The 22,124-nt window shown below is 48.1% G+C and overlaps 2 annotated features.

Annotated features, from left to right (window-relative positions):
- Positions 7,995–8,494: an enhancer, noted in NCBI's record as "H3K4me1 hESC enhancer chr19:29402081-29402580 (GRCh37/hg19 assembly coordinates)". NCBI's record gives its function as "activates a minimal SCP1, AML or CMV promoter by ChIP-STARR-seq in naive H9 embryonic stem cells {active_cell/tissue: H9 hESC(naive)}" and the evidence as "EXISTENCE:reporter gene assay evidence [ECO:0000049][PMID:30033119]".
- Positions 14,804–15,001: a silencer, noted in NCBI's record as "fragment chr19:29395574-29395771 (GRCh37/hg19 assembly coordinates)". NCBI's record gives its function as "represses an EF-1alpha promoter that drives an FKBP-Casp9 reporter gene in an ReSE screen in K562 erythroleukemia cells {active_cell/tissue: K562}" and the evidence as "EXISTENCE:reporter gene assay evidence [ECO:0000049][PMID:32094911]".

Below are 22,124 nucleotides of genomic sequence, written 5' to 3'. Positions count from 1 at the left end.
ATGAAAGACTTAGATCTATTTCTTTCTTTATTTTTGAGACAAGGTCTTGCTCTGTCACCCAAGCTGGAGTGCAGTGGTGAGATCATGGCTCATTGCAGCCTCAAACTCCTAGGCTCAAGCGACCCTCCCACCTCAGCCTGCCAAGTAAGTGGGACTACAGGTGCACACCACACCCAGCTATTTAAAACATTTTTTTTTTGTAAAGACAGCGTCTTGCTATGTTGCCCAGACTGGTCTCAAACTCCTGGCCTCAAGTGATCCTCCTACCTCTGCCTTCCAAAGTGCTGGGACTCCAGTCATCAGTCACTGTGCATGGTCAAAGGACAATGATTTTAATCATTGTGTATTTTGATCAGTGATCTGTTTCCCTTGGTTTTTTTGTTTGTTTGTTTTTGTTTTTATTTTTTTATAATATGTGAGGAAGAGGAGAACATTGTAATACTAAGATTTGTGCCACAGTTTCTTATAACTTCTTAAGAAGCCACAGGAGAAAGCTTCTGGGTGAAATGATCAGACATTTCTAAGCTGCCTGTTGCTGCCAGTCATGCTTCTGGTGCAGTGTGTGAGGATCCACCTCATGCACCCCACAGGCATGGAGGATGGCTGGGGTTTGTTGTGTTTCAAGATTTAAAATTAAAATCTGCTGGGCGTGGTGGCTCATGCCTGTAATCCCAGCACTTCAGGAGGCTGAGGTGGGCAGATCACGAGGTCAGGAGTTCGAGACCAGCCTGGCCAATACGGTGAAACCCCATCTCTACTAAAAATACAAAAATTAGTCGGGCGTGGAGGCGTGGGCCTGTAATCCCAGCTACTCGGGAGGCTGAGACTGGAGAACCGCTTAAACCTGGGAGGCAGAGGTTGCAGTGAGCCGAGATTGTACCACTGCACTCCAGCCTGGGCAACAGAGAAAGACTCTGTCTTGAAATAAATGAATGAATGAATAAATTAATTAATTAAAGTTAAAATCTTTCTTGAAGAACAGCTTTTTTCTGGACATCTCATTCATGAGCCCCCACTGGCTCTGGGCTCCCCATCCTGCTTTGTCCGAGTCAGAGAAGTCTCCTAAAATGTGGAACTTTGAGGGATACAACTTGGAGTAGTCCTGGGAGCCCAGCTGGCTTGTCACCCAGCAACAGGCTGCTCACTGGGAGCACAAAAAACCCACACCTCTTTGGAGGGCCTCTTGGTCGAGTTGCAGATTTAGCCCTTCCTGGGCCCCCCACAACATTTTGGGTGGAAAAAGCACCATTTCTGCTAAATGATTTCTCTCAGAGCTGGCCAGGAGCAGCCACAGGGACCACCCAGCACCACCCAGGATTGCTGCCAGGGCTTTTCTTCTCTGGTGAACACCTGGTCTTCTACGCCCAGCTCATGAGGAAGGATGTCCCCAGAGATCCCTCCAGGCCCAACCATTGCTTCCCAGACAGATGCCCTATGGGAAGAAAAAGGAAGAGAGCTCCTCTTCTAGGCTTTAACACAGAACGTCAATGCCGCCCAGCGCTGTTCCTCCTGCCCACGGGCTGACGGCATGAGGGGCCTTGCCGTGGAGGAAAGGAGGCCCTGAGTGCATCTGGAAGCACTGAGAGAGCCTAGCCTGGAGGGACAAGCGCTTCCCCCACACGCTTCTCTCACTCGCCCCATGCTGCGGGGCTGCCGAGCCTGAGCTATCTTTGGCAGCTCCCCCAGGGCCAGAGAGGAGCCTGTGCCTCAAAGTTTATGGCTTGAATTATTCGTGTGTTATTAACAGCAGCAGTGATGAGGACAGGAAAGTGGCAATCCTGACACCATGGCAGTGGCCCGTCCCAAGAGAGCCAGAGAGGCAAGGCTGCCTGTGAGTCCGGCCATACTGGCAGGGGATGAGTCACGCCTCTCCCGTTCTCCTCTTCTCTGCAGACAGGGTCAAGGTCATCACAGGCCCCACCCCGAGAGAGCCCCTTCCCCAGCTGAGGTTCTGTGGGCTCCTGGAAACCTGTCATGACTAGTGCAGCACAGCGGCTGAGAGTCCAGTCAGGGGCAGCTGAGGTCCCATCCCACAGCCTCCACTTAGGAGCCCGTGACCTTGGGGAAGGGCCTCATCTTCCCTAACCCTTCCTGACACTCCAACAGGGATGAGAGCAGAACATCCCTGTAGGGCCACCCTGAGGATTAGATGAGAGAAAGGACAGAGCGTGACGCCCAGCATACAGTCAGTGCCAGGAAATGGAGCTACCTGAGCCTCCTTCATGCTGTTGGTGCTCACTCTGTGCTGGCTCGCACTTATTCCTCACCCCACTCAGGTGGTCCTCTTCACTCAAATTGGAATTGCTCTCTGGTTTCGAGTAAGCAAATCCAGCCTTCTCCAAGGTGGATGTACCTTACCAAATCGTTTCTGTCCTTACCGAGGTGGAAGGTCAGGTCCCAGGAGGGGCTTCTGAGCACACGGGGTTTTGCACTGGTTGGTGAATGGCAGTCCTTGACTCCTCATCAACCAGTGTTTCTGCCTCTTGCTTCAGCCTGGCCTGAAAGGCAGGGCATCTGAACCAGCCACTCCTGGGAGAACTTGCTAACTTCTTCCAGGTCTTGCTAATGGCCATTGCCCACTCCAGGAAGAGAGACCATGCCAGCCGCCAGCCTCTCTCTTTCACTGGACTCTAGGTGTGCTAAGATGGATTTCTTAAGGCTTTGACTCCAGTCTCCTCTTCATTTGTGAGAGGGAAGAGAAATATGATCATTCATTCTTCACAGGGTTGTGGCAGGAATAAATGGTAGCTCACAAATAGAACTTCACAGTGTCTGGCATTCTGGATGGGCTAAAACAATGCTGAATATGTTATAATTCTTCTACTCATAAAAGCTTTATTTTGATGTCTACTTTATCCCAAATCTCCCTGATTGGAATTTTCCAAGACAGGTAATAAGGTGCTTTGGTTGGGGCATTTTGGCAACTCCCTAAAAAGATTTTGAGCAAAATCCTTAAAAAATTCGAGACTTACCACTAGTACTCACATCCCAAAGGGTGAATCCGGCTGAGCAGGAATATTTAAGACCTTGCTCAGGATTTGAACTTGAGCCTCAGACTCTACCAAAGCTCTGACATGTCCACAAAGAGGCTACTGGAAGGCTTCAGGCCTGGAAGGGAAGTTTCTGATGAGATTCTCATCTTAGGATGGATTTCCTAGAAAAAGAACTGAAAATATGGATCTGTGTGAACACAATTATTCAGAAATGACTAATAGAAGAGTGAGAAAGTGGGGCAGAGAGGAAAATGGCACCCAAGGATGCAGCATCAAGAACAGGCCCCAGGGGGTGCTGGCTTGGCCCCAAGAGGGAGCTCTGGAAGGTTTAGAGAGCTAGCCTGATCAGAGGCAAGGGGGCCGGGCGCCGTGGCTCACACTCGTAATCCCAGCACTTGAGGAGGCTGAGGTGGGAGGATCACTTGAGGACAGGAGTTTGAGACCAGCCTGAGCAACATGGCAAGACCCTGTCTCTACAAAAAAAATAAAAAACAATTAGCCAGGCTTTGGGACATGCACCTGTAGTTGGAGAGGCTGAAGTGGGGGGATTACTTCAGCCCAGGAGGTCAAGACTGCAGTGAGCTGTGATAACGCCACTGCACTCCAGCCTGGGTGACAGTGTGAGACCTTGTCTCAAGAACAAGCAAACAAAAACAAACAACAATGAAAAAAGAAAAAACAATTAAAAAGAAGCAAGGGGACATTTACACCTACCCCCCCCTTTGTTAGTGGTGGCTGATCCTGGGGTGATGTAACTCCTGAGGCATTTTTAGCCCTCAGTGCAGGCAAACAAGGTCAGTCAGGGCAGCTGGCACAGAGACCCAAGGAGGCTGAGGGGAGTGGGCATGCACCGAGTGGGTGTGTTCCAGAGGGTGACAGGGGCCAGGGAATGTGGGGGGAGCCCCGATGGCGGGCCTCTCCACAGGGCAAGGTAAAGCTCCCTGGGAACCCACTCTTGCCATGATAAGAGACTCCAGGTACTGGGCTGTCTGCTCTTCCTTCCCTCTGGCTTTTCCCTACCCAAAGTGCTTGCCTCTTCTTCCTTCTTCCTTTCCTTGGACATTTACGGGGCATCTTCTAGACACGAGGCTTGGTTTCAGGGGCTGTGGGAGCCACAGAAGGCAGAATGAGCTGTGCAGATCAGGGAGAGCATTGAACCACAGCAGCTGGATTCCTTCTGATCTGAAGCCATCCACTGAATTTGCATCCCAGATCAGCCACGGAGCATGAATAAATGATGTGGCTCACTAAGCCTCATTTCTTGAAGTAAAGGAATAGCACTTATATACACCCACTTCGCAAGCCTATTTTCAGAATACTGTGAGGGGATGGGTGTAGAGAGCCCAGCCCAGTGTGCAGTTTATGCACTGGCCCCTCCTTTTCTCTCCATTCATCTCATTTCTTTCCTTTGCCAAGTGCCAGGTTGCCACCCTCCTGTCCTGAGTAAAAGTCCTGGATCCTTGAGCAATGACCCCTATTAATTGGTTCCTGGGCTCATCATCCCAGTTACTGGGAGATTCCTATGGTAACAGTGAGTGAGACTCTTTAAGAAGAAAGTGGCAGGGTGCAGTGGCTCACACCTGTAATCCCAGCACTTTGGGAGGCCAAGGCAGGCAGATGACGAGGTCAGGAGATCAAGACCATCCTGGCCAATGTGGTGAAACCCCATCTCTACTAAAATACAAAAAATTAGCTGGGCATGGTGGTGCATGCCTGTAGTCCCAGCTACTCAGGAGGCTGAGGCAGGGGAATCACTTGAACCCCAGAGGCGGAGGTTGCAGTGAGCCATGATCACACCGCTGCATGCCAGCCTGGCGACAGAGCAAGACTCTGTCAAAAAAAAAAAAAAAAGAAGAAGAAGAAGAAGAAGAAAAAAGAAGAAGAAAGCAAGAAGGTAATTAGGAGGACACAGGCCCACTGGAGGCACGCCAGAAGACCTTCTGGAGGGGACTTGTTTTGGGTGCAGCTGCTCACTCTCCCTCTCTCATGGCTGGTATATGCCTCTCATACTCCAGCTGGCCAGTCCTTTTTGTAAGCTCAGGTGCAGGCTCCAGAGCTATGGATGGGTCAACTCCTCCCCAAGTTGGTCAGAGCCCCTGGTGGGGCCCTTCCTAGGCTGCTGGCCTCTGGATGGCTGCCCTTGTGCAGGTGTTGACCCTTGATCCAGAGATCACATCACCCCATGTATGAATAGACCTGTGCTGCTCCCCCCAAGAGTGAGGGTGGGCTGGGGAGACAGGGGTGGCCAGCCTGCTCACTCCTCCCAACAAGGGCCAGTTTGTCCCTTTCCTCCTTGAAGATCTTGGAGCTTGCCTGGGAAGTGTCTGGGAAACAAGATGTCATAAAGAACATATGATTTGGCTCAATCCATCTCTGCTGGCTTTCTCCTTTCTCCTCCCTGCACTCATGCCCTCTCTCTCTGGGCTTCTGCTTGCTCAGAGGGTGGCTGTGACATGCCTGGTGTGCCCTGGGCCTGTAGACAGAGCACTTTACCTTCAGTCATGAGGCTGGGCTATGCAGGCTTCTCCCAGGGAGCAGCTCTGGTCTTGTGTTTACTCCCTTTGAATCCTCATCATCTGAGCATAATCCCTGGCACACAGTAAATGTTTAATAAACTGCATTTATCCAATGAACCAGTGAGTGAATTCTCATGAATACACATGTGTGGCATATGTGAGAAAGAGGCTGTGCAGGTCAGGGGTGCTGTCCAGGTCCCGTGGCACTCACTACAGGTGCCAGTTTCAATGAGAAACACACCAGGGACCCAGCTGAGCTTGTGTGCGTAACCTGACTTACAGTCATGGCTGCCCAGAAGGGTGAGCTGGAAAGGCCGTTTCCAGGCTCAGGATTGATTGGTGATGTCTGCCCCGGGGAAGAGCAGCGTGGTAACTGCACCTGTGTCATGTGTCTCCAACCTTCGGCCTAAGCCATCTGATCATCATTTCTGAAACCTCTTTAGCCTGAGGGTAGGGCCCAGTACAACTCTGAGAAAAACACATTAGTCTATTCTACAGGTAATGTCTGGCATAACCTGGTCAACATTGTCCTCCTGGCTGCCTATAGTTAAGAAGGGGCAGGGACATCATTTCAGTCCCAACACGGTGATTGTCACATGAAATGCCAGGCAACCCTGAAGCTGTGCACACAAGAACTGCTTTCCTGAAACATCCTACACAAACCCCAGACTCTCAAGCCCGTTTCCCTGAGAGCTCAGATCAGCCCCAGTTACGGATCTCTGGGGGCCCTTCTTCTTTTCCTGGTGCTCTTTCCTGACAGGAGGAAACTGAAGTGTTCCAAGGCTCAGTGCAGGGCTTTGACACCCTAAGCTAAATGCAATTCTGACTTTGGAGCTCTTGCAGGGGGTCGGGGTGTTCAGTGAGTGAGCTGAGGGCTTGGCCTGGAGACAGAATGAATTTCTGTTTCAGAACAGCAAGGAGGAAATTCGCCCAGCTGCCACTGTCACTGCACAGCCCAGCAGGGGATGGCAGCTCTGCAGAGAGACAGGGGGCCTTCATCTTGCCGGGTCTTGGTGCTATTAGGGCTCCAAGGGAAGCAGGGTGGTTTTTCTTCTTTAGAAATTAGCAAAACCACATATGCCTTTGGTAAGCTGAGGCTGAGAAGTTAGGCCTTGGTGCCCAGAGCGTTCTCCATGGAGCTGAAGAAAAGGCAGCAGGCATGTGTAGTGGAAGAACGTGTGAGCCTGTCTCAGCAAAGGAGGGGATTTCACGCTGGGCTGCTCCTAAGGCAAGCTAGTTCAGCATCAAGCAGAGAAGTGTTTGCATCCTGGATGCCTACAGTGGTTCGCTTGGGTATGCAGCAAGGCTTCTGAGAGCTGGGGTTCTCCTTTGCCGAACTCTGTGTGCACCATGAGATGGCAATGAAGGAGGTGGAGCCCTAATGAGGCGGAGATTGTTGGTTTCCCACTGCACCTCCATGAAGTCAGAGTCGCCGACAGTCAACATCTGCAACTCCACCTCCCAGGGGTTTTTGTTTCTGGCCATTCTTGCACACGTCAGAAGCAGCCCTCACCAATGCTGGAGGAAAGCCGACAGGTGGATACCCCGAGAATCCTCACTCCTTGGCTGTGACCACCTTGTGCTGTGTTCCACACTGACTCTCAACATTCTCCAGTGGGATTCAGGCCAGAGACCCATGCCCTAACCCAAACATGCCGACAACTCAATTCCAATTAGCTCCTCATCCCCGCTTTTCCTGCTTCCCAGAACCCTAATGGTACTTCCGGGAATCGCCTTCCAGGTAAACCAACTACACTCCTCCCTTGTTTGTGGTCTGCTCCCAGGGCAGCCTGGCCTGAGACAGCTGCTCTCAAGATTGGCTTAGGCTCACCTGGGCAGATCAACATCCATCACATTCTAATCCAGTTGAGAGAACCCATCTTCCTGGATAGGTTGGTGCAGTTTTAAATCACATGGCCCCTTGTTATACACACATGAACACTTTTCTCCTCTTGGTAACTCATTTCTTCCTCTACCAATGTCTGTGGAGCAGAAAGCAATGAGGCTCAAAGAGTCCCTGCCATAGAGAGGACCACATCTATCAGAGGAGGATGGCATGGACTGTGACTATCTACATACAAGAAAGAAAGGGTTGAGGCCCCTAGGGAAGTGCAGAGTTGGGACCACAGGGACCCTGAGGTGGGTCCCTTCCAGGCTAGAGGGAAGGAGGCTTGGGAGCCACCTCAGAAATGGTGGAAGAGAGGAGCTGCAGGTCCGGGAACGGTGGCCCCCAGGGTAGCAGCCTTGATGGGATAATACCATGAAGCAATGGGAAAGGCCATGGGTGTACCTGGCGAAGGGTGGTGTGTACCCTGGTGGGCTGGGAGATGATTTTAGGCTGCGCATTTGTTGCGGTCTGGGTTCCCTAGAAAGCAGAACTTGAGGCAGAAGCTGACTTTACTGACACTTTGCTGTCGAGTGCAGTCCCAGGAAAGCAAAGTGAGGCAGGCAGAGGGGAGCTGTGTCTGCCTTGCTCGTGTTTGGTGAGAATATCATGAGTAGGGTGAGGCTTTGTCACAAGTGGACTGCTCAGTATCTTAGCAAGTCTTTAGGGAGGCCAGGGGAACTGCTGGGTCCCAACACAGCATAGAGGCTGGGGAGTGGGATAGGAAGGGGAAGGATTCAGCCATAGGCCCCTGTTTCCCACTCATCCAAATTTCACTCTATGGGGTGTAACGCCCCAACACTCCATCCCTGGGGGCTGGTGTGGGCACTGTGGGTGGACTTCTCAGTATCTCACACTTCCACAGCAACGGGGAAACTCCAGGGCAGGAACCAGAGATATGCACAGCAGGAGGGGGCGAGATGCTCTTAGGGTGGGCTTGTGAGCCACTGAGGGCCCAGAACGGCTGTCTTAGAAGGCCCCGACCTGTGGAGGAAGTGGAGACAGCTCCGTGGCCAAGGAGCAGCACCAGCTGGGCCAGAGCCATGTCAGCCAAAGTGGGCAGCCCAGAGATGACATCTGATACGACACAGACACATGTCAGAGGCTATGCGCTTATTTTCCTGTATCTTAGAAAAATAGGAATCTAACATATCACACCCATGATAACGCAGACTTTATTTAGACAATGTAGATAAATAAGCACACAGCTGGAAGGTAATCATGACACCAGTTGTGAAGGGGCACAAGTGTGAAGCGCTGGGGCAGGGGAGGCAGGGAGAGAGCTGGCTGGCTTGTGTCTGTCCTAGGCCAGGGTGTCTGGAAGGAAGATGCAAGGCAGGAGGCTGATGAGGAGCTTGGGGCCGGGGACTGGGGGGCCTGGCATTCACAACAGGGGACACTTGCAGGCAGGTATGTTTTGCTGACATTCAAAGGTTGGAGGGAGAATACTGCTGTGACTTGTTACTTTGTCAATAGGAGCAAATACATCTGCACTGGGGGCCACACCTGGGTGTGGGATAGCTCATCCCAAAACAGTGCATACCCTGGAGAACTTTCTCTAAATCCAACTTTCTTTTCTTTGAAAAATTAGATAGATAAAAGTAGTATGAAAGGTATTATTATGAGAAAGACCTTGAATCTTTCTAAAATAATAATTTTAAAGGACTGAAATTGCCAAGTGTTGGTGAGAATGTGGAACACACTGCACTCCCATGCTCTGCTGGTGGGAGTGTATATTGGTGCAACCACTTTAAAAAACACCATTCATCAATATCTCCTAAAGCCAAACTTATGCCTATACTATGACCCAGCCATTATATTCTTAGACATATGCCTGACAGAAATGTGTACTTATGTGTGCCAAAAATGTGTACTTATGTGTGCCAAAAGTCTGTGAAAATCCCTCAAGCCATAGGCTTGCAATGTGTGGATTTTTCTGTATCCATGTTGTACTTCAGCAAAAGTTCAAAAGAAAAAAGAAAGGAAAGTAAACAATTTGTAAATGTCTACACTTCTATACTGTGGTGCTCTTTTTAGTAACAAATCATGTCATAACTGATTAGAGTGTTCAGCTGATTAAAGCTGAACCAGAGATAACGGAGAAAGAAGCCCATTTGGGGGATTTTCCTGTGTCCGGCAAGAGGAGCAGGTGATGGAGGAGTTGAGCTTCGTGCCTACGGTCTCAGAGATGCTGGGACTCCCTGCGGCCCACATCAGGATGTGAGGTGTGAGATCTTGCTGCAGGGCAAGGACTCGCTTCTGCCTGCAATCATCGCCCTTCTTCAGATTAGCCTGGGGAAGTTCCCACAAACGAGCCATTTAGGGAGATAACTCAAAATCAACGCCATCATCTCGGGGAGGAAAAAAAGTGGGGGCCAAAAATTTAATCACTTCTTTCTTCTTGGTCATTCTTGAAGTAATTGTGTGGCCTCTCATTTCTTGTGCTGAATGTGATAGAATGTATTGTTGTTCCCATGTCAGACGGTTTTAGCAAGCCAGCTGTAGGGAAGGTCAACTGTGCTCTTGGAGAGAGCAAGACAAGACACAGTGGCTGAGCCAGCCGAGCCGAGGGAACAGGCAGATCAGAGTGCAGCAGCTCCAGAGTCCCTCCCTCTCCCTGGAACACAGCGGGGCCATCCCCCCGACTCCCTGAGGGACACTGGGCTGCTGTGTCACCCTATCATTCAGCAAGAGAAGCAACCACTTGCAGGTGTAAGTCACGGTTTTGCCATGGTCTGGGTGGTCTCAAACTAACCCTTCGAATTCCCTGAACTTCAGTTTTCCCATCTCCAAAATTATACCCACCTTGCAAAGTTGTTATAAGGACTGCATAAATCAGGGGTCATTTTATTGTAAAGAACCAAACAGTAAATGTTTTAGGTTTTGCTGTCTATGAGGTCTCTATCCCACACTGCAGTGTGAAAGCAGCCATAGACAACCATAACTGAGCAGCTGTGGCTGGATTCCAATGAAACTTTACTCACATGACAGGTGACAGGCCAGACTTGGCCTGTAGGTCATGGTTCACCAACCCTAGCATAGGCTAAGAAGTTAGTTCGCTTATATAGGATGGAATGCGTAGCATGGTCTATATGCATTACTTTCGTTCTTCCCCCTTCCCGCTGTGTTTTTAGCAGGGCTACATGAGCCATGTTGAGAGAAGCGTCTAGCTCAATATCTGCATAGAGCTGGTATTCAGCATGTATTTGGTGTTTCTACCCATTTCTCAGTTGAGCATTCATTTGTCCGAATGACTCCCAAGCTGTGCCCTGAGGGTGTCTGTTGGTAAATCGGAACCCTGGAGAGGTGAGCGGTGAGGGAGGGTGCAGTTGAGCAAGAGGAACCTCGGGAAACTCCTTACTTCCCTTCCAAGTCAGAGCAAGACACTCACTGACGACCCCACCATGCCCAGACAATGTGACCTGAGCACACTATACTTAACCTCCCCATGGCTGTCTCCTCATTGATAAACCAGGATGTGGACATCAGTGAGGATTAAATGAGTTAATATCTGCAAGTAGTTGTAACGATGCCTGGAGCATAATCTAGTAATGCAAATTGTATTCACAATAAAGCAGCAGAGGCTTGGGGTCTCTGTCCAACCCTCACAAGTTCACAGCTCAAGACCCCCTGGGCTCCATAGGATGAATGCACCAAGGAGACAGGTGTGTACTAGGCCAAGCCATGTCCAAGGCTCTGCTTTCCTTTTTTCTTTATTAAATATAGACAAGGTCTCACTCTGTCAGTCAGGCTGCAGTGCAATGGTGTAATCTTGGCTCACTGCAGCCTCAACCTCCCCAGCTCAAGGGATCTTCCCACCTCAGCCTCTCAAGTAACTGAGACTACAGATGCACACCACTATGTCCAGATAATTTTTAAATATCTTGTAGAGATGGGGTCTTGCTATATTGTCGAACTCCGGGCCTCAAGGCATCCTCCTTCCTCAGCCTCTCAAAGTGTCGAGATTACAGATGTGAGCCACTGTGTCCAGCCACCACTTTCCCTCTTATCTTGCTTTGTGGGTGTAGGCAGAGCCAGCATCAGAGAAACACAGCATTGGGAAATACATTACAGGTGGAAAACCTTTGTAAGTAACGGCTGTGGCAAGAGCTGGCACATTTTCTCCTTCATTGCCTGGACCTGGAATGTGTTCCCTGATTTCACTCTCGTCGGCTGCAATGTTGAGATGGGTGGCTGCTTTCAATGCAATTGCTCTGGACTGTGGCCTCCTAGATTACAGCAACTTCAGGGGCTCATGTCATCTGTGTGTGCATGTGTGTGTATGTGTGTGTGCATGTGTGTGTGTGTTGCAGCCCAGGTAAACAGGCACTGGAACAGTTTCTTTCAGTCCAAGAATGAAAACTGGCTTCTAAAATGTCAATTTCCCCCTGCCTGCCCCAATTAATTTCATCAAGGAGGCCCAGGAGGAGAGATGTAGAGTCTGAGCTGAGCCCCAAAAGATACATTTTCTCCTACATAGATAATGTGTCATTAATTAGACAACTGGGTGCACCCAGAATTCATTTTACATAATTGTCTATCTCAACTCCGAAACCGGGATTTGCCCTCTGGGCAGGGAGCAGTCAGCCAGCGGCTCTTTGTTTAAAGTAGCCCAAGGTTTCTAAAACTTCCACATGGAAGGGGCGGTGAGAAAGTAGATCCTTGAGGAAAGGAATCAACTACCCACGGACTCACAGAGGGTAGTGGTGGGGCACCCAGACCAGGGCAGTCGAGAAGCGCTGGCGAGAAGACAGGACTCAGCCAAGGCAGAGCTGAGAGCAAATCCCGCTCACTCCACACGTGGCTGTGGGAAAGGCAGTGACCCCTCTGAGCTCAGCTTCCTCACCTGCCACATGGGGAAAGTGGTACCTGCCTCCCTGGGTTGTTGTGAAGGTTAAATGAGACAGAGCATTTGTAAAGAGCAAGAGAAAATTACTCACCATCAGTCTTTCCAAGGAAAGACCATGCTTGTTTGGGGAAAAAAAATACATTCTCTGATAAGCCACTGGATTGCCCAGGATTTGAGGGCAGGTGATTTTCTTGGGAGGTGACCTCAGGAAGCTTAGGATCATGTCAGAGCATCGTGGAGGAACAGAAAAGAGTTTGGGTATCAAGCGTAATAGAAAAAGTGAGAAATTGTGGCCAGGTGCGGTGGCTCAAGCCTGTAATCCCAGCACTTTGGGAGGCCAAGGGGGGGTGGATCGTCTGAGGTCAGGAGTTTGAGACCAGCCTGGCCAACATGGTGAAACCCTGTCTCTACAAATAAAAATACAAACATTAGCCGGGCATCGTGGCCAGTGCCTGTAATCTCAGCTACTCAGGAGGCTGAGGTGGGGGAATCGCTTGAACCTGGGAGGCAGAGGTTGCAGAGAGCCCAGGTGACAGAGCAAAACTCGGTCTCAAAAAAAAAAAAAAAAGAGTGAGAAATTGTGAACTTCAAAAGCCCCAACAATAGAAGAATGGTTCCAGTCAGAGAATTTACTAAATCTTCAAAGATGACTTTAAAAATAACATCTGATGATAGGTAAAAACAAATAATATATTAAGCTAAGTAATAAAAACTGTATACATATATGCAGAGGAAATGAGAAGAAAAATATCAAACTATTTGAAGTGTTAGCCTCTGAATAGGGGGTTATAGATTTATAGATAAATTTAATGTTATTTTTATATAACAATCTATACTGTCCAATGCTATATTCAAGGTATATACAACTTACTATTGTATTACATTATCAGTTTTGAAGAAAAATAAACATAAATTATAACAGCAAACACAGAAGACAATTAAATGCAATTGGTGGTACCAACATCCTTCTAACTTACGAAACATTAATACCTACAGTTATTAAATTCAAAATTCCACTTCTTGAATTTAACGTTTTTAAGTAGTCCATGTGGTCAGAACGAAGATGCATTAGACGCACTGTTCAAGTCTAGTATCTATCCCCAAACACTTCATGATGGATTTTCCTATAGACCGGCGTATGGCATTCTTCACACAGCGTCCTCATACATGCAATGTTTATCATCAGACATACTATTCGTCCCGGTCATCAGAAGGATGACTCAGGCTGGAGCTTCACCCCCAAGATTACCACAGTCACTAACCAGTCACAACCAACAGCTGTCTTTGCTGGAGATCCAGAAGTCCCTAGTGACTCAATGGATGGGCTCTGAGGGTCTACCCACTATATCTGTATGCAAAATGTTGACTGTGGACCTAATGATATTGGTCTGGGGGAAGCGGACCAGCCTTTTATCAAATCTCAAAGTTATCTCCAAAGTTTAAGAACTCCTGTTAAGTGAAGCCATTTGAGGCTTTGTGGCTGTAAAATAACCTAAACATATACAAGACCATCTCCAAATAGAGTCTCCATTTGAAAACTGATCTAATATCAACTTGAGAAAGAGGTTAATAGCAGCAATGCCCAGTTCAGCACATGAGTTTTAATACCAACAGACTAAATGTAAAATTAGGAAACGTAAGCCACTTGTTTCCCTACTAACTGGATTCTGGATGGCCTGTTCATCATGAAACTTAGGTATTTGGAAAAAGGCCATGAGGAAAATGTTATCTTCTAAACCCAGACCTGGGCCACTGGTCCTGTGCCTACAGTGTTTCCCGGACTTGGCAATAGGATGGATTTTAATAATGGTGAAGCTCTGTCCTGCAGGAGCTTCCATGGGGCCACACTTACAGATACTCCATCCCCCGGCTGCCGGGCTGCCATGTTCCTGGGATAACGTCATGATTCATCCGGTTTCCTGCACCTCCAGAATAGGCCATTTATCTGAGCCTGGCCAGGTGGCACCGGAATGATGACTAGAGAAGGGGCTTCATTGTTCGATAATAATTTACACCAGCCTGGGGAAATACTGTCTGTCTTGTAAAAGAATGTTCTGCATGAAGGGAAGCATGCACGTACTGGAGGATGAAAAACAAACAAAATCAACAACAAAAAAGGAGAGGCTTCTATCAGAAATTGGTCCACATAGGAAATGAATTTAACCTAAAGTAAATGGATACTGACACTAAGTCTCCCTTAATCATTTCCTGGGCTCTGAAGGAACTTTCCGCACCTGCAGAAACCAGTTTCCCTTTATCTCAGATTAAACCAGAAGCAGACCTCGTGATGAAGATGTGGGGGCCAGGAGCGACTCCAGGGAGCACTGAGTGAGGAGCAGGGAGCTGGGAGATGGAGAGGAAAGAAAACCAATGCAGGGTGTGTTAGAGCAGCTTGCCTTGCGGGAAAATGGAGTTTAATCCTGTTGGATTTGGTGCATGCTGTGAAACACGTTTCAGAATTGTTCTAGCCGCGGGGCAAAGAAGCTGGAGTGCTCACCCGCCATATCCCAGTGGTGGCTGGTGGAGAGCTGTTCCAAGGTACATTTACTCCCTGGCTCTTGTTGTCTGCCCTGTGTGCAAGATTGAGTGTGGAGCCACTGGTATTTGCTGTAAGAAGCCTTTGGTTTGCACACAGTGAGTGCTAAAGGGAAAAGGGAACGTCTCTGAGGGTGCCTGCAACAGCCCACTCAAAACTCCACGGACCATCACCATACTCCACGAGCAGAGCCCCCCACCCCCGGCCTAGAAAATGAAATGGTTATGCCTGTTCCTCTTTCGGTTCTTTAATTAAGCAACACATCTCTTCCGAGCATCTTCAGTGTATCCGCCCCTCTGTTTTGTACAGTGGGAGAAACAAACAGAAGGGAAGATGTGATCCCTGGCTTCAAGCAGCTCATTATGCAGTTGGAAAGGCAACATCCACAGACCCAAAACAATCCACGAAGCTGACGCTAAGCTGAAAACTGGCTGTGAGCAGCGCAGTCAGCCTTTTTCCAAACGAGAAAAATTGTGACCCTCTCCCTGGCCAGGCATGGCGCACGGGCATTTCTTCACCACCAGACCCTTCCCTAGTCATGCTGAAGCTGGAAAACCAGGGGACGGCCAGACTCCCTCTGCAGTGAGGCTGCTGTTAAGTCCATTAAAAGAGAGCAGCCATCAGTTATAAGCACATTGGTGTTTGCCTCTAGAGAGAATGTGTCTTAGGCTGGACTCTCTCAGGAGCAGATGCTGAAACAAGGATTAGGGGGCAGGTGGTTTTCTTGGGACGTGATCCCAGATGGCACAGGTAGGGGATGGGGAAGTGGAAGAAGAAAGGAAGGACACTAAGGAGCAGGTTACTGCTGGGGACCACTAGGGAACTGGGGGCTTCACTGCCCTGGGGAATTATGGGACTTGATGTAGAAGCCACTTGGGGTCTTTGCATCTGAGGGATGAGAAATCTAAATGTTGATCTCCAAGGAAAGAAGCAAGCAGGGACTCATGGGCGTGCCTGGAATAGGGAGTGCAGAAGGGTGATGGGCGGGAGGGGTTGATGAGACACTGACAGTGTCTGTCAAAGAAGGAAAACAACTTGGTTTTTGCTGACATTTCCATCCTGGCTCAATGAATGCATGTTGGGGATTGCTGCCTAACTCACAATCAACTCCTCTCCTTGGAATGGCCCCAGCAATTACACAGTTGCATGGCCCTGCCTCTCTGGTCTTAGCTCATCAATTCATTGGCAAGTACCTGCCTCCAGCTGGGCCACTCCAACTTTCTCTCTTATGAATTTGAAATTTAAAACAAGGAGACACAAGGACTTAAAGTCACTGTACGTGAATCTCGCAGAAAGTCCGTAAACTTTTGACGGCTGAGAGTCTCGCTGCTGTCCTGTCCCTGTTCCTTCACCTTCCTGGTTGTTCAAGCTCTTCTTCCCACTCCATTCTCTTTGAATAAATTCTTTGTTTGCTAGTTGTGAAGAGAACCACGGTTTGTTCCTGTTGCTTTCCATGAATACAATGTTAATATGCATTTATGTAGTCTCAATGTTAAAAACTCTTATAACCTGAATGCAATTCTAGCAGTCTAGGATTTTGTCTAAATCAGTAGCACTTACCAACTGACTCTCCATCCAGCAGGCATGTACCAATGGGAAATCCTGACAAAATGGTAAGGCTATTCAATATTGACAAAAGTATATCCGTATATCCCCCAAGAGCTCATAAGCAAAAACACACAATTCATGTATTTAGTCAGATTTTAATGGGAACAAAACAGTTAATCCCCAACTCTCCAGTATAAAGGAAATCTGTTTGCTTTTCAAAAAAAAAATGAGAGTTTAAACTGTGAGTTAAGTAATCCTTTAGACAGCAGTACCCACACCTCAGTATATTAAATGTTTTTCAATCATCCACTCTCTGTTCATTATAGAAAAGTAAATTTGCTTAGCCGCTAAATACCAAATGTTCACTTAGAAAACATTAAGTAATGTGATCAAGAGATTTTCTTTCTTGTGAAATAATTGCCTCAAAGCTGCATAAACACAAAGTGCACATTTTCCAAGGGAACGCGGGAATGACCTTCGGCAATGGGCAGATTTATTTGCTGCTGGAAATTACTCCCTCGCCTGCTGCAGCCCTGGTGCTTTTCTTGGTCTGTCTCTTGTGCATGTCACCCTCCTAGGGAAGAGCCCACTATGGGATTTAGGTCCAGATTTCCATTGGGAGGTGTGGCTTTTGCATCTATACATGTTTGGTCAATAGTCAGACCCAAGAGTTAAGAATAGAAGCAGGGGATGGGCGCGGTGGCTCAGGCCTTTAATCCCAGCACTTTGGGAGGCAGATCACCTGAGGTCAGGCATTCGAGACCAGCCTGGCCAACATGGTGAAACCTTGTCTCTACTAAAAATACAAAAAACTTAGTTTGGTGTGATGGCACGCACCTATAGTCCCAACTACTAGGGAGGCTGAGGCAGGAGAATCACCTGAACCTGGGAGGCAGAGGTTGCAATGAGCCGAGATCATGCCACTGCACTCCAGCCTGGGTGACAGATTGAGACTCAGTCTCAAAAAAAGAAAAGAAAAAAAAAGAAGAAGAAGAACAGAAGCAGAAAGAATTCTAGACTGGATATAAGGAGCTCTGGCATTTTCTTAGGGTCAGCTGCTATTTTGCTATGTGACTTTGGGTAAGACACTTTCCCTCTCTGTGCCTCAGTTTTCTCACTGTGAAAGGTTGATCAGAGAGACTTCCTAGTTTCATTCTATGAATTAATGCTTCCCTAGGTCTATGAGAGCTGTTATTTAGAACATGGAATCTTGGTGCTCCTGGGTTCCATCTTTAATAACACACTCTCTCTCTCCCTTTCAATAGCAATAATGACAGCAACAACTGACACATGCGTGATGGTTATCATGGGCCAGGTGCTGCTCTCAGCACTTTGCGCATTGCCTCATGATCCACACTGCAATTTCACCGGACAGGGCCTATTGACTGTCCCCATCTTAGCAAGGGGGAAATGTAGGCTGAGAGAGATGTAGTAACTTGCCTAAGGTCACATATCAAGTAAATGAAGAAGTGAGAATTTAAACCCAGAACATCTGGCACCAGGCTGAACCAATATGCTATACGATCTCTCTTCTAACAATCCACATCTGGAAATACACTGAAAGTATATTTTCTTTTTCATTTCGTATCTCTGGTTTACTATATTTCTCTGGTTTATAATATTTTGAGAAATATCACAAAGAGGTTTTTAGAAAATGAGTCAGCAAATCTTTATTAAATATTTTTAGTGCATGCACATGTGTATGTCCTAATGTTAGGTACACAGGAGAGAAAGGAGAAGGAATTGGCCCTGTCCTCAGAAAGCTTACTGTCTAATTCAAAGTCTGCCCCATGCAATCTTGACTACCTTCCTGTTGGAGCAGAAGTGGGAGGCAAACATCCAGAACTACCATCAAAGTTTAACTTGCTATTCTAACACTGAATCTTCACACATGAGCCACCATGCCCGGCTAATTTTTGTAGAGATGGAGTCTTGCCGAGTTGCCCAGGCTGGTCTCAAACTCCTGAGCTCAAGTAATCTGCCGGTCTTGCCCACTCCAAAGTGCTGGGATTATAGGCATGAGCCACCGTGCCCAGCCTGAATCTCCTTTTTGACACTGCCTGTTTCTGGAACTGAGTGATTCCTTGCCCAGCTGATTGCCATCAGATTCCTGGAAATTACTGGGTGTTGGGTTTCTGGATCCCAGGGCTGGGAGAAGGAGGATGTGGTAACATCTCAGTTGAGCAGTGCACAGGCACTGAATTGGCCCAGCTGGGGGCTCTGGAAGGAGCCTCTGCTCCACTGTGACCTCCTGCACAGGCCCTCATTCACTCCGCAGTCTGAAAGACTCTCACCCATTCACCTGTTTGGCCTCCCAGATTCATTATTTTCTACATTAGCCCCGGGACACTTACTCATGGTGCTTTCTGCTATGCTGATTGGGGCCTGACCATGCCTTATCCACAAGAAGACAAGTTCCCCAAAGGCAGGGCAGTGTCTTCATCCCCCCGACTTTGACATACATCCAGGATAGACTCTTAGAGAGGGTAAAACTTACTAATTAAGCAACAAAGGAATGAGTGAAAAAGATGTATTAGGACACTTTGGGTTAAAAGTTAAATGTCAGCCTGAAACTAGCTAATCAAACAAGGCAATCTAGGTGCTCATGTAGCTGTGAAATTGAGAGGTGGGTCTAACGCCAGGACCCCAAATGCCGTCTCTCCATCTCTCCCTCTGCTTCCTTCTGTGGCTTCTTTCTCAGGCTGGCTCTGGTCACACGGTGGCATCCAGGAGTGCCAGGTTTCCAATTCACCAGCTAAGAAGCCTCCAGTAGAAGAGACAGAATACTTTCCGGTTATTTCTGCCAATTTGAAGGACATGACTCTGTCACTTGCCCAAAGATCAGTTAAAAGGCTGTTATAATGATGCAGAGAAGTGGAGATCTGCTTTGAGTGGCTCAGTCTAGGGGAGCAGGGAGGCCCACCGTGGGCCCAGCAGTCTTCCCCATGTATTACCAGTCATATGAAAGAACTTAGAAAAGCATCCACAATGTGTCCTTCACCATGGATGCCGTGTTTGTGCACATGAATTGGAGACGTAAAAAATGTAATGTTTCCTTAGTTCCACTAGTTAAAAAAAGAAAGTATTGCAGAGGGAGGATGGATGCTCGCCAGTGAAAATGCCAGGTGTCTTCCACAAGAGAAAGGAATTGGAGTTGGGATCCAGCAAGTTGCTCAAAAGGGCTTATGCAAGGGTGAAAAGAAGAATCTGGCCTCATAGGTATCTGAACTGTCCTAGAAGAAGACTGTCTTAAAGTAAGATTTGCCTCGTGTCTACCAAGCGTATCTTCAATGCTCAGCCCAGTGGGTGAAAGTAAGAGAATGAGTGAACCGTGTGTTAAACTGTTTCCCAAGTTCAGGCTCAGTTAACTTGCTGTCTAGTTCATAAACTGCTGTAACAAAATACCACAGACTGGGTTATTTATTTAACAAATACACATTTACTTCTCATGGTTCTAGAGGCTAGGAAGTCCAAGACCACAGCCTGGCAGGTTGGCTGCCTAGTGTCTGCCTCAAAGGGGACCTCCTGACTGCTGCATCATTCTGAAGGGAGGAATGCTTTGTCCTCATATGGCAGAGGGCAGAAGTGCAAAGCGGACAGACTCCCTCTATCAGTCCCTTTTATAAGGGCACCTAATCCCATCCATGAGGGCTCCACTCTCATAATTTAATCATCTTCTTCTGGGCACCCCAACTTTTAATCCTGTTAGACTGGTTATTAAATTTCAGCATGAATTTTGAAAGGAACACAAACATTCAAACCACCACACTTACCTGTAAATGCAATGGGGAAAAGTGTTATTTCCCACTATTTGTTTGTGAGGACACAGAGATTCGCCCTAAGCTCACAGAGCTAGGAAGAGGTGGAACTGGGATTTGAACCCAGGGCCTCTGGAAGGCCTCCTCTGAAATGTCTAAATAGGGAGATTGCTGCCTGCTCCTGGCAGCCTAATAGCTAACCTACCATGCCCATCACAGAGCTTCTGCCAGCTGCATTAGCACCTCCTCAGCAGGGAAGCTTCTTTTAATGTTAGCAAACAGAAATGGCTTATTTGTCCCCCAACAGCCCATACTGTAGCAAAACAGCCTCACTCTCTATTAGAAGGCCAGGAGAGCCAAATCACGGATTGCTTTAAAAACAAACAGTGTAGCAAGAAAGAATCTCAGAAGGAACCCAGTTTTCCCTTTTTTTCTGTGCCTCCTCACTGCTCTGCTCACATCTGTGTGATCCTCAGAGAGAAGACTCAGCAGTTCGGTGTGCACAGGGAGGCCCTCTGAGCAGAGCTGATGCCTCTCATGCCCACTGTGTGGGGTTAGCATCTCTCTTCCCATACCCCCAGACACCCTCTGAGGCAGGAGTCCTGTCTTCTGTTCCCCACTGCCATCGTGCACAGAACCCTGCCAAGGGAGCCACTCAAAAGTGCAGACAAGGCTGGGGGTGGTAGCTCATGGCTCAGCCTGTATTCCCAACACTTTGAGAGGCTGAGGAAGGCAGATTGCTTAAGGCCAGGAGTTTGAGACCAGCCTAGGCAACATGGGAAAACCCTGTCTCTACAAAAAAAATACAAAAACTAGCTGACATGGTTGAGGCCCTTGGAGCAGACCCTGGGTCTCAGGTACTTGGGAGGCTGAGGTGGGAGAATCACTTGAGCCTGGGAGATCTAGGCTGCAGTGAGCCATAATTGCACCACTGCATTCCAGCCTGGGTAACAGAATGAGACCCTGTCTCAAGAAAAAGAAAAAAAAAAGAAGTTCAGACAAGACATCTGGAAGTAGCACTCCCTCAGCCTATCCCCAGCTAGCAGGACAGCTGAGATGCTCACCCAGTGGAAGAAAAAAATGCTCAGCCTAGTCAGTGACCGCAGGGCAGAGACTCTGCCAAGCAATGGGACACGCATAGCGGGGAGAACAGACAAGCCTCTGCCCACAAGAACTTAACCATTCAGCAGGCAAGAAGCACTGGAAACGGTCATTGTCATGATGATTAGGACATTGCAAACTGTGCATTATGAAGCAAAAGGAGCTGGGCCTATTAGAGCGTGTAGTCCTGGCCTAGGTGGAGGGGAGAGGTATGAAGATGGGTGAAGGTTATCCAAGGACACTTCCCTGCAGAAGGCGTGAGAGACAGCACAGCAAAGTGGGGGCCCCAGTTCAAATGCTGGCTTGGCCACTTACGCTTTGCATAATTCTGGACAATTTCCCTTCTCTATCAAAAAAGGGGTTGTGACAACTACAGTTCCTACACCCCAGCCTGTTATGAGCGTTCATGACTGAACAGTGGTAAATTCTTTATTTTCTTCTGAAATTCTTTATTGCCACACTGTTTGTTTTGAAAGCAATCCCTGATTTCGCTCTCCTGGCCTTCTAATGGAGAGTGAGGCTTTCTCTTCTAATGGAGAGTGAGGCTATTTGGCCATCAGGGGCCAACGAGGGTCCTGGCACTTCCATGCTGCAGAAGTATTCACTGACGTCAGAACTCGCTTAAGTGGAGGCCTGAAGGTTGATCTAGAACGACAAAGACAAGAATGAGGACCTGGTTCCAGGCTGAGAGGACAACACATGTTTCTATGTTTTAAATGTTTCTTTCCTCCAAAACTTACGTTGAAATGTAATTGCCAATGTAATGGTCTTGGGAGGTGAAGCCTTTAACAGGTGGTAAGGCCATGTAGGCTCTTCCCTCATGGTGGGTTTAATACCTTAAACAAAAGGGCTTTTGAGAGTGGGCTCTCTCTTTCCTCTTTTGTTCTTCTGACATGTGAGGAACTGTGTTTCCTCCACGCTGGAGGATGCAGTGTTCA

This window comes from Homo sapiens, chromosome 19 (assembly GCF_000001405.40).
Source record: "Homo sapiens chromosome 19, GRCh38.p14 Primary Assembly".
NCBI lineage: Eukaryota > Metazoa > Chordata > Mammalia > Primates > Hominidae > Homo > Homo sapiens.
Note: the sequence above shows the minus strand (reverse complement) of the source record. Positions and strands in the feature narration are given on the sequence as shown.